The following is a 17,590-nucleotide window of genomic DNA, read 5'->3' as shown; positions in this document are numbered from 1 at the left end:
TGAGCATAGAAATAAGTAAGAATTAAATAAACTATATTATTTTATCATTATTTTTATTTATTAAATTATAAGCCACTCCCAAATAATTTCATTTGGACTTTCGTACTTATATTATAGGCCTTCGCCTATTAAGTTTTAATTATTTTTGACTAGTCTGTCTTGACAAACTATAAATTTCTCAAGGGCAAGTCCCTGTCTTTTTCAACTTTGTAACAATTCTATCAGCAGCAGAGTGTCTGGAAATGTCACACTTACACAGGGCATGGTTTATTGAAAAAAAAAAACAACTAGTTATATTAAAATAGTAAGTCTAAAGTATCAGATTAACAATGTTGAAAGTAAAATATATAAAGTGCTCTCACAATACACGTATATTTAGTTTTGTTAAAGGAAGAGAATTAGAAGTTTAGAAAATAAAAGAATCAAACAAATAAAAAATATTTAATATTTTCAGTGTTTGATGGCTTCTTCATATACTTACATTTCTAAGAATAACTGTTTATTTAATGATAAATTAATGGGTGTTAACATAGAGGAGGACCAACAAAGATATGTCTTGGGAGATATCTTTTTCTACTGTCAAAAAAAGGCTGCATGTATTTCTTTTCACTTGATTGTAGCAGACTTTTCTGAGCTCTTATCTGCTGCAGACACTGAGTAGGTTTAGTGCTGGTAATAAAAGATGAATGAGACCATTTTCCAGCCCTCAGGAGTTATACAATCTAGTACAAGGGACAGATAATCACAGCAGAATATAGCAGGTGCCATAATTAAAAGTAATATTTTATAGAAAGAAATTTTGAGAGTGTAGACAGAAAATGTGACATGTAATCTAGAAATGGAAAAACCTGCAGAAATTAGGTGAGTACAAGAGACGGGAAGAGAGTCTATAAGAAAGAGGAATTTTAGCAAAGGGTTGAGGGTATGAAAAAGTTCATTGAGTGGTAGAAATGGTGCTTACAGAAATATCCTGTTCCCTAAAGGTGGTTTTCTTTCAGATGGCTGCAATAAACTTATATTCATAAATTCAATAGACAACAAGAATATGAGTTGGTATGCCTTGCCTCCTAGATTTGTCTCTTTTAACTTAACTCTGTCCTCCTAATTCTTACCTGACTTCTAAAGAATTATTTCCTGAATCTAATGAATTAGATTAAGAGGTGTTCATCTTTGTCCTGCTTTCTCCTATTTTTGATTCTGTGCATTATTTTTTTCCCACTTAATGGTGTGATAAAAGTAAGAATAAAAATTCCAACCAATCATTGTTGAAACAAGAGGGAACTTATTACTGTTCATGGAAAGATCTTTGTTTCTGCAGGAACATTCTATGTGCATAACAGAGAAAGATTCCAACTATGGCCCCCTTGATAGATGATGAGGATTTTTCTCCTGTTTGATGGTCAAGGGTCTTGCCGCCAGCTTTCAGAGGCGAGTGAGGAAACACACTCACAGTCAGGTGCTATGACAGCAAGAGACATGGTGCTCCAGGGTCCTGGACATTGGGATTTCAAATAGTTTGGGTTGGTTTTATTGCTTTGCTGAATCAGAATACTGCCAAACTAAATGACCTCTAGCCATGTATTTATTGGTAAGTTCAAGCAAACGAATGAAATAGTTTCACATTTGTTTTCAAGCAAACAGCGAGAGATGATGTAGTTGGATGTTGCCTTGGCTTCAAGTAGCAAAGAAAGTCTGGGATTAGTTGTCAGTATTGGGTAGCATGCTGAACTGGTGGATCTAGGAAGCAAAAACTGTCAAGAATCAGAGGGTTTTGAGAACAATGTATTTCTGCTTTTTATTGTTTTTGAGACATCTTCTCAATTTCTTTTTATGGAGGTAATTAGAGTGGTTCACTTGGTCACAAGGAATCACTTACTAAGGTAAAGGATATGGGAATGTATGATGCTAGGGATTAAAAATGACAAATTCCAAACTTTTGGGTATGGACATGCTAAGCACTGAACAGTATTGTGGTTATTATAGACTTTTAATAGTGTACAACTAAGTTTGTCATAAATGAAATTCAAAAGTCTGACTTAGACACAGTTTCTACTATATGTATTTCCATAGTTTGTCACTAGAAGAAATTATTTCAGTATTGATGATGTTACTTAAGATAATTAATGATACTACTTAATAAAATAATGATGTTATCTTACTTAAGGAAGCTTCAGAAGACTTTCCAAATTATCTGGCAGCGTTACAATCTTATTCTTCTCAGTACTGCTTGCAATAAGTGAGCATATTGGCCAGAAAACTTGGTATTTATTGGGCACCTATGATGTGTTCATTGCTTTATATGTTTAGATGTATAGAGACAGGGAAAGTGATATAAAATAAGTACATATACAGATCTACTTATGATATCAAGGAACATTTTTTGCAGGGAAATAATGTAAACAAATGGTAAAACATGACAAAAAAGTAGAATTTTATCAAAGAAGGGTTTGGGCTATTTTAATATCAGTAACAAGGAAATTTGACTTATAGTTTTATTTTATTCAATTATTTTATTATGCTAAGTTTAATTTATGACACTGTATTTTTAAACACATAATCACATTTCAGGAGACAGCACAAAGGATTTTTTTTAATGCATGTGTAGGTAAACAATAATTTACTTTAATAGCAAGTGGTCACTTCATCCTCTCAAACTTGATGTCTAGAAGTAAATTTGTTACCTCATCACCCAACAATTTGTCATCTTGACTGGCCTATATTTATTCATGACATTACTATTTTTAAAATATGCCAGGTTTGAGATTTTTGTGTCCTCTTTTAATCTTTCTCTGCTTAGTGTTTCATATTCAAGTAGCAGCGAACTTTGATGCTCCTCAAAATCATTCCTGTCACTTTTTCCTTTTCATTTCTATTAATGTTACCTCAGTCAGACTTTTTCCAATGTAGATCGGGATGCTGTAAGAGACTCTTAACTAATCTCCTGGTCTTTGGTCTTCCCCAACTGCCAATTAATGTGCAAATCATTGCTTAATTTATCTTTCCTATTTCCCTTTTAATCATATTGCCACTTGCAAAATAAAATCTCTAAAGACTTCCATTTGATTGGAAAATAAAGTTTAAATTTTTAGAACATTAAAAAATTATTATGGAAAATTAAACATATGCAAAAGAAGACGGGATATTATAATAAACCCCTATGTGCCTGTCACTCAACTTCAACAATTATCAGCTCATAATCCATCTTGTTAAATCTCTATCTCTGTCTACTTTCCACATCCACATTAATTTCAAGAAAATAATTGGCATTATATTATTTCATCTGTAAATATTTCAGTATGTATCACTAGAAGATAAAACACATAAGCACATTGCTATTATCACGCACAAAATAAAATTGAGCAGTGATTTAGTCAAATACCCAATCAGTGGCCACATTTTTGTTTCATAAGTGTCATTTATATATTTCAGTTTGTTTATTTGAATCAAGATTTAAATAATGCCCACACTTTGTGATTGGTTGGTGTGTCTTCTAATCAATGGACTTCATCTCTATATCTTCTCTCTTCCCTTTCAACAGCTTGTTGAAGAAACCAGATCATTTGTTTTGTAGAGTTCACACTCTCAATTTTGCTGGTTACACTTTTGTGGTGCCTTTCTTTTGCGCTTCCTTTGTCTATGTTCCCTATAGATTGGTGCTGAATTGATGATCAAATTTAGATTTGATTTATTTTGTCAAGTCTTCTTTGTAGATAGTGGTGTGTTCTTTTATCAGAAGACATCATATCTGGTTAGTCCTTTTTCTGATAATAGCAGCTATTGATGTTCACATTGATCCACTAGTTCACTGGGAATTGAAAAATGGTGATATATTAATTATATCATTGATTCTTCATTTATTAGTTAGACTACTTCTTTAAAGAGAAATTTCACTTCATGTCCTGTTTGGTTATCCAGGGGTACAGTTTATATAGAAAAAAAATAGCATTGCTTTTAATAAATCCAATGACCTAATTTGCTGACTTTCCAATCTTGTCTGCCACTGGTTCCTCATAAGGTGTGTGTGTGTTGTAGTTTGGTCTATCCACTGTTGATTAAATATGCCTCACACTCTTGTTCATGGTCACCACTGCCTTTAGTGGTAGAGATTATATAGGTCTTTCTTTGAATGTTCTACAGTGTGGAACTGCTCATTATGGTATTTGGTGCTGTAAGAAACCACAACATCGGCCGGGCGCGGTGGCTCACGCCTGTAATCCCAGCACTTTGGGAGGCCGAGGCGGGTGGATCATGAGGTCAGGAGATCGAGACCATCCTGGCTAACAAGGTGAAACCCCGTCTCTACTAAAAATACAAAAAATTAGCCGGGCGTGGTGGCGGGCGCCTGTAGTCCCAGCTACTCGGGAGGCTGAGGCAGGAGAATGGCGTGAACCCAGGAAGCGGAGCTTGCAGTGAGCCGAGATTGCGCCACTGCAGTCCGCAGTCCGGCCTGGGCGACAGAGCGAGACTCCGTCTCAAAAAAAAAAAAAAAAAAAAAAAAAAAAAAAAAAAGAAACCACAACATCGGCCGGGCGCGGTGGCTCACGCTTGTAATCCCAGCACTTTGGGAGGCCGAGGCGGGCTGATCACGAGGTCAGGACATCGAAACCATCCTGGCTAACACAGTGAAACCCCGTCTCTAGTAAAAATACAGAAAAATTAGTCTGGCGTGGTGGTGGGCGCCTGCAGTCCCAGCTACTCGGGAAGCTGAGGCAGGAGAATGGCGTGAACCCGGGAGGCGGAGCTTGCAGTGAGCCGAGATCGCGTCACTGCACTCCAGCCTGTGCGACAGAGCGAGATTCCGTCTCAAAAAAAAAAAAAAAAAAAAAAAAAAAGGTAAATACAAAGGCACTGACCTATGAATCTCCCTTTTGGGCATTAACATCATTTTTCTAGTGGAGACTTGACTTTTAAGACCACATTCTCTAACTTCACATAATTTAAGCATTTTTTCATGAAGGCAACTTTAAGAAAAAGAATAGCCTAGCCACCCTAACTCATGTTCATTACAGAGGCATAGCTTATGAGATACCTGTCCTCAATAACCAAAAGGTACTTCTGAATGTTTTCTGATACATTCTGGTTATTGAGGCCCAGTATCTCATAAGCTATGCCTCTGTAATGAACATGGGTCATTATAACATGTGCTGGTACACATCCTTTTCAGACTGATCTTTGTCTCAAAGCATATCTCTTCCGTTAAGAAACATATAGATTCCTCACATGTCTGCTTCCAACTTGAAAGCCTCTAGAACTTAATACATTCTTTCCACCTACTATCTAGCACTCATGCTTAGAGATTGCTGGCGTTGTTTTTCTAAAGCCTCATCTGCATAACATGTAGACTAGAAAGTTGGTGAACATAAGTCTTTGCTCTTGAATCCGTCTGAATTAAAGAAGGAAATGTCTGATCAAATATGTTATATTTATAATTTCAAATTGCTAAGTGACAACCAGTTGAGCATTACTGGATTCATTCTAATTTTATTATTAATCAAAACTGCAGTATATATTTTTAAATTTTATGTTTCTTTTGCTTATTTCCACCCTTGTGGTGAATTTTTTAGACTATGTTGAAATTGATCAGTGCATAGTTAGTATGCTTCAGTTGTAAGTCTAGTTATAGACATAGCTGGGCTAGAAAGATGAGAGACTTGAGGAAGCCTGTGTGATTTCATAAATAACCATTTGAGATTCAAACATTTTTTAACGTATTGCTGGGACTAGCTTTTGGGATTGGCTTCTTCACTAAGCCTGTGCCATTGAACCATAGACAGTCTGAAACCAACCTTGATGGGTATGCTCGAGCAAAGCAAGAGGTCAAAGCACTGAGCCTCTGAGTAAGTCTGGTAGGGAGCAAATATAACAGTTTTGGAAAAATGAACGTGATAGTGTTTTCATAGGAACATCTGAGAGGGCAGGCAGATACTCATTGGGCTCAATGTATATGGTTTTTGTATGTATTTTTTAAAATTTATGACTCATTATTGGCTAATGAAGAAGTATATTCAAAGAGGGTTAAGGGTTAAGTGAGAGCTGGTTCAACCAGTGCAAAAGTAGGATAAGTATTCTATTGGTTTCATGCTCTTCCCAACCATATTCATGATGTTTATGGACACATATCACTAAGAGATATATGGAGCTTCCAAGAATTATTACTGTTGTATGGTCAAATTGAATGGAACTGTTTGGGGCATGGTTTTTGTGTGCCTTTCTGCGAGTCCATAAGGGCAAAACTATTTTCACAGTAATACTGAGACCTTTGGTTTTTCACTTTTTTCAGTGTTGATATATGCAGTAGTGGTTAAATCTGTTGATGCTTTAGCATGAATAAAGGCAGGCACCAAACTATACCGGTGGTCATTGTACTCTTCACTGCCACTGCAGTCACAGGAAGAAAAATAGCACATGAAACAAATGCCAGATTCCCTTAAAATTTTTCTTGAAGCAATGAAAATCTATTAATTTTTAAAAATCTCTACCTGTAAGTCCCTGTCTTTTTAATATCCTGTGTGACAAAATGAGAATGTGTAAAGCACATCGACTGTATCCCATAGTGCAATGGTTGTCTTGAGGAAACCACTTATGTAATTGTTTGAATTGTGAGCTGAACTAGCTGCTTTTTTCATTAAATGCCATTTTAACTTGAAAGAACAATTCCACTTCTCTCATTTGTTTGGAAAGCATAGCAAGTTCCTTTAAAATATCTTATTTATATTAACATATGATAGATTATTTTTATATGAATTTAATGCATACTTATTTTTTAAATTCTTGGCTTTAATTTTTCATTTAATATGGTAAATAACCACAAATGAATACTCTTAGGGGGTCCTCAGTAATTTTTAAGAGTGTCAAAGAATTCTAAAATCAAAAGTTTGAAGACCACTGCTCTAGGTTATCTTTTCTGAAATAAACTCCCTTTTGTCTATATAAGATCTAGTAACTTCAAAGGTATTACATTTCTGTGATTCTAAGATTCTGTGATTTTAAGATTTTGAGATTGCCACAAAAGGATGGGTAGGGGAAAACAGACCTTTTAGTAGATAGCTATCTGCATTCTGTTTCAATGAGTGAGCTGAGTGGAGCTGGTATGCGTTCTTTGATTTCTTTCAACAAACATTTATAAAGTACCTGCACTGTATAAAGTATAATGCTGGTTGCTATAGAGAATACCCAGTGAATCATTCTTAGAGGCATTAAGTTGTAATCTTCATGAAAGCAAGAACTTTGTCTTTTCTAGCAGGGGAAGCATCGTGGTAGGCAGGCGGATGTTTTTGAAATCCACACGAGTCACTCGTTTTATCTCCTTAGGCAGGTTGCTATCCTCTCTGAACATTTTTCTTCAATTGTAATATGGGAAAAATATATACTATTCTGGATTATTTTGATGATTAGGAACTTTTAATGTGAAGTGCTATAGCAGAGTTCTGAAATATTTTAGCAAGGTTATTTAAAGGGCTTGATTTTGTAGCTGTTTTCTAACCCAAGAAGTATAGAAACATAGAAGGGAAAATTCTATATGTATATGTAAAAGTAATTTTTAAGAAAAGTTTAACTCATAAAAGCAAAATTTATTTTTAGTGGCCAGAAAATAATTAGGCTGTCAAAATTAATTTATTTTTTCAAAAGAGAACTGATTTTTGTAAAAAAGTGTAAGTTAAAATAGCTATTAGATTTGTTTGCTACATTAGGTTCTGTTAACCATAACCAAAACTGAGTTTTAATATAGTCATTTAGCTTATCTTTACTTATTTTTGTCATTTTCCTTTAAAAATCTATATTATAGAAAAAAATTGATAGAAATTCTATATTAATAATAAAAGTAATACACATCAAGTTAAGCAAAAGAAGGTTTTCAGTGATACTATTCCTTCAGATATAAATGAACATGTTTTACTTGTTTCTAATTTGATTTTATAGATTTAGTTCCAAATAGTGGTGCTTTACTTCACTGAAGAAAGCATTTAAAAATTTTATTACAGTAAGGTTATTTCATTTCCATGTTAAATTTATTGCCTAATAGCAATTCATTCTATAAATCAGAATTTCATAAAATGCAAAAATTTTTTTTTAGTCTGAGTGTTCTTTTTAAATCTTTACAGGAAAATGGATGTGTCTTTGACAGAGACTATTTTCATGTATCTCTGCTTGTGCAAATTATAGAACATAAATTTTCTTTCTCCAAAAATAGATTGTTGCTTGCCTGGTGACTCCAGTCTTTCTGTGGCATAGTGATGTTTGGCTTCTGGTTCTTATTGAGAGGTGCAGTATATGGATTTTAAACATTGCAGCTATAGAAATCGATCCAAATGTATAATAACCTTAGAATACTTTTACTTATACGTAAAGAAATACTGTGTCATTACGTGTCATTTATTAATGTGGAAGAAACTAGAGATTCTTCCCTGGGTTGGTATACACTGACATTTATTTTTAAACATGGAATTCTAAAGTAGAGGTGGAATAGAGCAATGAATGCTCTTTACAGAGGCAGAGGCACAAGGAAGCCTATGCCCATTTTTAGATTTCTATATTGCAGACTATTTTTACATTTCTCTTCATTCATCAACTGCTCTTCAAGTCAAATATGCATGCTCACTAATTTAACAGGCACCTGTTGTCATGGCAGCAGAGAACAAAAATGAAATTCATTATTTTATGCGGTGAGAGTTCGCAGGTGATACAGATGCTGGCGGGGGTGGAGCAGGGGGGAATACTGTGGGCTTTTGCTTTGTATAGCTCCCCAAGCAAGAGGCTGTGTCTATATTAACAAGTGCCATGGGATTGTGGGATTTGTCCGAGGTTGCATTCTTTACAATCTAGTGTCCCTTTATACACTCATTAGACTACATGGGGCCAACTCTAGTTCTATTGATAATATGGCAACCATACAGTGGTTTTCATCAAGACAAATTCATGAAAAGGGATTTTCCAGTGTAAGTTATTAGCTGATAAACAAATAAGTCCATGTGTTTTTGCATCTGTCTGTCTGAAGGGATGCTGGTAATGATAACGATTCTCACTGTCTTTTTCCCTTTTTGAAATAATTAAAATAATTGTTGAAAATGGAACTTTTTTCTAAATGAGATATCCAATGAGGTAACTTGGATTGAAAGAAATCTTCCAGAAAACTGCTAATTATAGAAAAGCATTTCCTTTGGTTATTTCTGTCAACCTGCCTAGTATGTATTTATTGAATGCCTATTACATACATGGCATTATGGCGGACCCTCTGTGAGATATGAGAATTCGTTATCCATGGTTAGTTAATTTAAACCCACATAAAGAAACTAACCAAAAGCACACAGCAAGCACAGGCCATTCCATTATTTGGCCTGTTCAATTTTTTTTGCACTTTATTCAGTGTATGCTGCATTTAAAAAAATCCGTTATCTTGATAAGCCACCATCATTTGGTTTATTTGACTCTTCCCAATACAAAACAGTGCTTTGGAGGAGCATTGTAAATAGCCAAATACAAAGTGGGTGCCAACTTTCAGCAGGGTTCATTCAATAACAAACATTTATTGAGTACCTACTATGTGGTAGGCATTGGGTGAAATACTATGGTGAATGTTAAATTCCACCAATCACATGTCTTATTGCATATTTATACTTTCTCTCTGATATGCATTCTTCTTTCTAAAGATGCAGTTTTTAAATGCTAAAAACAAATCATTTGAAAAGAGATGGTGAGGATCTTAAGATGCTGACTTACCAAACCAGAAACACACACACCTACATACACACTTGTGATTATACCCTCACTTAGACCCTTAAAGAGGTGGAAAAACAGAAGTTTATCTAATTTAACTAACAGATTTGAATGAGAATAACATTTGGATGATGGGAATTTCCTACCTATGTTAGGAAGAACATCCTCATTTTACCCTGTTTTTAGCTGTCAAGCACATTCTGCCTGTGTTTCCTTTAGTTGTCATTCTTTTACTGTTTTCACCTGATGCCCTACCCACTTGCCTTCAACCTTTCTTCCAGCTCTGCATGAGAAAATAAAAATGAAACTTGCAGACACATAAAAAATTTTTAGCTTTTTTTTTTATAGGCACAGTGCATTTTCTGGGGGTCCTGCTATGTTGCCCAGGCTCGATTTGAACTCCTGGGCTCAAGCAATTCTCCTGTCTCAGCCTCTTGAGTAGCTGGGACCGTAGGTGCACATAACTGCACCTAGCTAACAATACCCTTCTTCACCTTTCTATCTGACTACCTGCCCTAATGTTCCCCTTACTCTCAGTAATGTGGTCTCCTATTGCGCCACTCACAGTAGGATCCAAGGACCCATGCCACTTTATACCAGTTCATGATGAGATAATGCAAAGTTACAAGTAAGCATTTAGAAACTTTGATAATAATTTGATAGAATAATTTTGCCTGCTGAATCTAACAAGATGTTTATCTGGTATTTTCCATTTCAAAAACTTTATTTCTCTGATGATTAATCATTTTTTTAAACAAAACAATAGTCTACATAGAGAAGCACTGGCCAAATACACTTATTGTATCTCTAAAGATGCCTTTGGATTTCTTACCTCCATGCCTTTGCCTGGTTTTTAGCTAACACTGCCTGGCTCTTAAAATTTAACTGTAATGTCATCTCCTTCATGAGCTTTTCTCTGAAATCCTACGGAAGTTCTTTGTATTTCTGACGAAACCTTTATAACTAATATTTTAAATTCAGTATCATTTAACGTTCTACACAAATGCGCCTCCTTTTTGCAGTATCGTTTTGGAGACTACCCCCGAGAGATACAATCAGGATGGATAAGAGCATGGACTTTAAAGCTGTAGATACCTGGACTGGAATCCTGAGTTGTGTCATTTAAGAGTTGAGAGGCCTTGGGGAGGTCAACTAGCCCTTTTCTGCCTCAGTTTCCTCATTTATCAAATGAGACTATTGGTATCACCTATGTCTTAAGGTTACTATGAGGATTAAATGAAATAATACATGTGAAGCATTAAGTATACAGTTCCTGGCACATACTAAACACTCAATATAAAACTGCTATTAATATTTTTATTATTAATATTAGCAGCATTTTATATATATAAATAAAATAAAAATATAGTACTTTTTTTTTTTTTTTTTTTTTTTGAGACGGAGTCTCACCCTGTCGCCCACGCTGGAGTGCAATGGGGCGATCTCGGCTCACTGCAACCTCCACTTCCCGGGTTCAAGTGATTCTCCTGCCTCAGCCTCCTGAGTAGCTGGGATTACAGGTGTGTGCCACCACGCCCGGTATCTTTAGTAGAGATGGGGTTTCACCATGTTGGCCAGGCTGGTCTCAAACTCCTGACCTTGTGACCCACCCACCTCAGCCTTCCAAAGTGCTGGGATTACAGGCATGAGCCAGCATGCTCGGCCAAAATATAGTACTTTTTATTGCCTTCATCCAAGCATTGCCTGAAATTAGTGATTTAATCATACTGTTTTGAGGAAAAAGAAGATGTGAAGAAACTGACACAATTTCTTGATAGGCCCATTTTTGAAGACATAGCTGGTGTGGGTAGTGTGCATAGGGTTGGAACATCTTTAGGTTTCTGCAGATTTCTAATGGGTTTTGGTGAACTAGGACAGTGCTGCAGAGGCACCCTTGTGTAGGTGCTGCAAGCATAAGTCGAATCACTCATGAGATGCTTTTTTCCTACATGCAAAACTAACACTACCAAAGGAAAATGGAATTAAAAAAAACTTTAGAAGAAGGAAATATATCTAAAAATATCCCACCACCACCACCAAAAAATTTGGCTGGAACACCTGGGTTTTTCTGAGTATAATTTTAGTTAGGTAAACATTGAAAAAATGTATTTTCCTAAGAAAGGAAAGACTCATTTTATGGAAAATGGTGATTGGCAGTATTTTAAGATGCAGAAGATTAGTTTTGGAAAAGACATTCCTGTTTTAAAGAATAAGATGTGAATTTGAACAAGCAGCAATAATGAGGACTAACACTCATTATTGCTTAGCTGACAAAATGTATCCCCAAATAGCCTTCTTGTAGGATAGTTACCTACGCAGACACGTAGATGTACACTACAGTGCTTAATCATGCAGTAGTTAAGTGAATGTTTTAAGTGTGCACTAAACAAGTATATTAAAACCATATTATGGATTCATAGCTATGTAGGATATGCTTTATTAGGCTTTAAAAATTAGATAAGCTGTCTTAAAAGTAAGCATAAATATGCTCAATAGAAAACTAAATTAACTGCCTAACAAAATGGCACTGAATTTAAGGGTGTAGATTATGTTTTTGTGGTCAAGTTATTTTTGGTATATTGAATATGAATTCAAAAGGAAACCTATAAACAAAATTCTGAGAAGAGCTAGAGAACATGAATTAAGAGGTACGTAAGCCCTTGCTAGACAAGGGCAATAATACAAAGACGTAATTTACTATAGTTGGAGCATAAGGAAAACAAAGTAAAACCTAGATTATTTGAGACCTTACAGCTGATTTTACATCTGCAGGTGTACACACAGTGTTCGTGCACGCGCACACACACACACACACACACATATGCCCATCAAGTACATATATAGATCTGAAAAAAATTAGTGGCAACATTTTCTATAAGAGAAGTTGGGCTGAATGCACACACCTGTTTTCAGTAATAATGTCTCTTAGATCTGAATGGCACAACAGTCTGTCAGGGAGGTGGTGAAATCATCACAGACAGTTGAGTGATTCAAAATTAGATCAGACGAAGTACTTTAAAAGTACACTGTAGCAAACAATCTAATGTTGGTAAGGCAATAAAAAGATGACCTAAATCAATCTTTTCAACCTTTAACTTTTAATGCTTTTGTGTAGTTTAAAAATAGAAAAATATAATGTTTACAGAAGTACTGAAAGGGCCTTATCTCTAAAGAGCTTATTATTTAACATAAATATATGATATTCATGGTTTTGTTATAGAAACAGTACAAATGTAGTTATGTATCTTAGTCCTTTCCCCACTACTATGAAGTCCACAATGATGGAAGAACTAAGGGTTTGAAGAAGCATTTAAGAAATGTTTGGTAGCATTTTCTTTACGGGTTATATTCAAAACACATATGTCCAATATAATAGACTTTGATATTTAGTCAAAATTAAATAAGATTTAAGTTTTTTTATTTTTAATGTTAATGTAACTAGATAAAACAATGATGATAAAATGGTACACAGATTCTCTGAGAATCATTAGTTAATGTGTATTTAAAAAAAGGGGTGATTGAGTGGGAAGCAGCTTATAGAAAAGTTAGTTTTCATGTTCTTTCTGACCTTAACTTAAATAATTGGCAATCAGATGCAGTCTCTTTTATATCATTTGATTTCTCTTATACTCAAAGTCAGTGAAGGTACTGCGTAAAATGACTGAAATTGAGAAGAAAGGGCTCAATAAAGTTCTCTAAAAGTTTCTAATTTGTGCTTTTTTCATTCCATGTGCTATTCTAACCTACAGTGATTTGCTTGGGGCACTCTTGCTCACCTTTGGGAAACCTTCTTATTCTCATGTCAATCAAATGCACATTAACAAGCAGTGGTAACTTACTGTTCCCTGGAGTCAGTCTATGTGACTTTTTGGATGAACTATGGGTTAGACTTATGGTCCCATGGATCAGTGGCTTGGAACCAATCTTGACAGAACCCTCCTTTTCTGTGACTGTTTCTAGGCCAGCAGTGTACCCTTTGACTGGTGCAAATGCTTGGTCGCTCGCTTGCCACACATGTGACCAGCTTTACATAAACTTCATAGAAAATTGGCTTATGCTAACTTCTCTTACAATCCTTGATCTCAAGCATGCTATTTGATACAAAGTCCATTTACATACAGTAAACAGAGAAGAAAGTCCTTTGTCCAGTTCTTGAAGCTTGTTCTGGTAGCAAAGGAAAACTAAATAACCATTTCAATTTTCCATTGGAAGTGGTAATGGTGGAGAGGTGCTGACCATGGGTAACATTTGCCTTGGTGCCTAGCTCACTGATAGGATGTAGAAGATGTTCAATAACTGTTTGTTGGATAAATGAATAAATGATCATTCCAAAGTAGGCTAAATTTTGGCACTGCTTTTCGGCATCCCTTTCTAAGCAGCTGGTCTCCTAGACAGCTCCATGGGAGCTGCAGAAACACAGGAGGATGAGAAAAAGATGGGAATTTAATACCAAAAGAATAAAAGTGGCAGTGTCTGTCTAGCCATCTTTTGACTAGTTAGCCTAAAACCATTCAATATGACGTACTGGGGAAAAAAATCGTGGAATTTTGGAGACAAACAAATCCACGTCTAAATCCTCACTTTGCTACTTACTTACTAATATTCTACCCAGGGCAGGTTACTTAATGTCTCTGAGGCTGAATTTTTCTTCATTTAAAATGGATAAATTACTCTTTGTCTTAGAAGCTTGTTTTGAGATAAATAACTTTGGATGGTATGTAGGTGTGTTTCAACAAGAGTAACAGTAGTTTTCATTTTTTAAGTGTCTTATAGATGCTTGGGACAGGGACAGAGGGTGTACACATATTTTCATCAATCTTTCTACCAGGTGTTCGAGGTAAAGAGTATCATTCCTGTTACTCAGGCGTTTACATTGAGAGTCGGTGATGGAAAGGAATCTACACAAGGTTGCAGAGCTCAGAAGTGTGAAAGCAGAGATTTGACTTAAATTTATCTGATTCCTTTGCCCAGGCTTTATTTTACCTGATTCATAAATATTATTTCTTTCCTTACCCAATGGAAATGGAATTAAACAGTTCTTCTTTTTCTAATTAATCTGGTTACCCTCTTCTATAGGGTGGTATCCTTAACTCCCATAATAAACTTCAGTAGGCCCATTTTGTTCATATGTTTAGAATCTAGCTGTGGCCTCCATTTAGATAGTGCTTTTAGGTTTTATGATTTGGTCTCACATCTTTTCAATAGATTTCTTCTATGTGATTTCAAGTTAGCTTACTGTAATACTGAAGTCCAGATAGGCTAGGGGATGCAATAAACTTTTTGTGGCAATGAAGTAACTCCAATTTCCCATAAGCCACCTGAGGGAGAAAACAAGACAGAGCCTTCCAGACACATAGAAGTACAATGGTGTTTCTTCTGCTGTGCGTGGAGTCAGAGATTGTGCTGGCCATGTGTCTGTATGTGATGTCAGTGGGAACTTTGAATATTTAGGGTGGAGATGCCTAACTTGGATAATCTGACTTTGGATCTATTAGCAGAAGCTGGAAATGCTTATAACTATGACTGAGTCAGAAGGATATGAACCTTGGACTTGTTCTGACAGTTGCCTTTAATTAAATGAGCCTGGCCCTCTTAGATTCTGGCAAGTCAGCTATTCAGAAAGCACTGATCTTTGAAAATCTTGTAACTTTCCCAAGTTTTGTTTTCACTCAGCATCTTGGATTTTGTGTTTTCCATTTACAGATTTATAATCGCTTAGATACAAATTGCTGTGGATTCAGACCTCGCAAGGAAGATGCCTGTGTACAGAATGGATTGAGGCCAAAATGTGATGACCAAGGTTCTGCGGCTCTAGCACACATTATCCAGCGAAAGCATGACCCAAGGCATTTGGTTTTTATAGACAACAAGGGTTTCTTTGACAGGAGTGAAGATAACTTAAACTTCAAATTGTTAGAAGGCATCAAAGAGTAAGTTTTATAGTAACATCTGCAGGACATCACATTTATGTTAGATAAGTAGCAAGGTTCTGAGAAAACTCACATCTTACATCTGATCATTTTAACCCTTGAAAATAATTGTGAATGTGGAATCTGGGAATGGAGACCCAAGAAAGGAAACAAACCCAAGAAGAACAGAACCAGAGTGCAGCCATAGCGCCTCTATCAACAACCAATACCGCCTACAAAGTGCATGCTACATTTCACATTCATGATGTTGCTTGGTTCTCATTGTGAAAATCCATGTGGGTTTTGTTGGAAGAATGCAGGGACCTCTGGCATAGGATTTGGCAGAGCAGGGATAAGCAGGTGGCAGAGGCTCCATTATTAGGCATAAGATAGGACATGGGAAGAACTAATAGATGTGCAAATATTGACATGGCAGAATGTCTAAATTCATAATGAACTCAAGTGACTTTTATGAATGCAGTGGAAAATGACAGCCAATCTGGTAAGTAAGGCATAGTCTCAGAGGAAAGCTGGCTGTAGAATTCAGCAGGTGGATTTTTCAGCATTTTGAAATCCTTCAAGGAGACATAGATTAAGGGGAAAAGTATCTAACACCTGAAAGAGAGGGCTTATGGAGGCTAGTTAGGGAAGAATTATTTATTTACTTAGGGTTGACCAAGAATTCAGGGAAGATCTCAAAGATCTGGGGACATCCGACAAGACTCAGAAAGAATGCTGAGTGGAGAGGGAACCAAAGAAGGAGTTCTGCAATGCAGAAGTTAAAACACAGTGGTTGCTCATGGCACACTTGATCATACATCTATTGGAAATAAAGGAAATTAGACATTTAGTAATGGCAAGAACCCAGCTATAAAGTGTGAGCTGTTCAACCCCAGCAGTGGAAATTGTGGCTAGATTTCAAGCTCCACTGCCTAGTGGGCAGAGCCACTCTCCATACTTCCCATCTTAGTCAGAAATCAGATTGACTAAGAGACTGCGGTAGGGTGGAGACCTAAAAATAGAGGGTTCTTTGGTAAAATAGGTAACCAGCTGTGTGAAGCTAGGTGACTGCTGGAAACCTCATGAGCAAGTCTCAAATTGAGGTTAGAACCCAAGTCTTCCAAATCCAAGTCCAGTATTTTTTTTTTCTGTAATAACTGTGGTGCTAATTCTGTAGTAACTGTGGTGTGCTCTGTTACTATTATTCTTGTTAATAATATTCTGGAGCATATTTCAATCATTCTTCCTAAACACTATTACTTACATGGTGTGGATTTTATGTACTTTAGCATTAAGAGCAATACTGTTGCTATGAGAGTTTTATGAGACATGATTTTATAAGTTTTTGCCGGGTCCTGCCCTGTTGACACTTGTTTCTCACATCTCTTTGTGGATTGAAGGCAGGTTATGTGGCAGGTTCTCTCTTTTAAGCTAAGGAAATTTTATGTATCGGAAAATTTACTTTCCTAAGACATCACTTACTAAGGTGATATCGCAGGGTCTTCTTGAATCCCTAAATTCCCTCTTAGAATTAGGAGTGCCTGAAGAATACAGTCCATCCATTTCATACATTCATGTAAATGTGAATATCTTTATTTCTTCTTTCAAAGAAGATTTACATTTAAATGCATTATGAGGAGTAATGGGTTTGAAGTTAAATCTTCTTTGAAAATATAATTCACACATTGAAAAGCAAAAATGAAGGCTTTTCTAACCCCCAATTTATGCACTGAATATTCCTACTATTATATCAATGTAGTGCAGAGACAGGTAATATTTTTGCTTTCCTTTATGAAAAGGATTAGCCACTAAAGAGATCTAATGGTTTTAACGATTTCATCTCATACATTCTGCCACAGTTAAATTAGTTGAAGGGCTATAGAATTGACAATTCATGGATTATTAACACTTCATAAAGCAAAAATGCTACTTAATACTAGAGCCCCTAAAGTTGAGGCCCTAAACTA

At 35.9% G+C, this 17,590-nt stretch overlaps 1 protein-coding gene across 6 annotated transcripts in view; it reads left to right on the top strand.

Annotated features, from left to right (window-relative positions):
* Window positions 1–17,590, top strand: part of GASK1B (golgi associated kinase 1B) — a 48,552-nt gene that overhangs the window by 26,596 nt on the left and 4,366 nt on the right. For all 6 annotated transcript variants that reach the window (XM_024454079.2, NM_001128424.2, NM_001031700.3 and 3 more), the window contains one exon: window positions 15,418–15,644. In XM_024454079.2, coding sequence (XP_024309847.1) covers window positions 15,418–15,644 — 227 coding nt within the window. The remainder of the gene's footprint in view (window positions 1–15,417; window positions 15,645–17,590) is intronic.

The sequence above is a fragment of the Homo sapiens genome, chromosome 4 (genome assembly GCF_000001405.40).
Source record: "Homo sapiens chromosome 4, GRCh38.p14 Primary Assembly".
Taxonomy (NCBI): Eukaryota; Metazoa; Chordata; class Mammalia; order Primates; family Hominidae; genus Homo; species Homo sapiens.
Note: the sequence above shows the minus strand (reverse complement) of the source record. Positions and strands in the feature narration are given on the sequence as shown.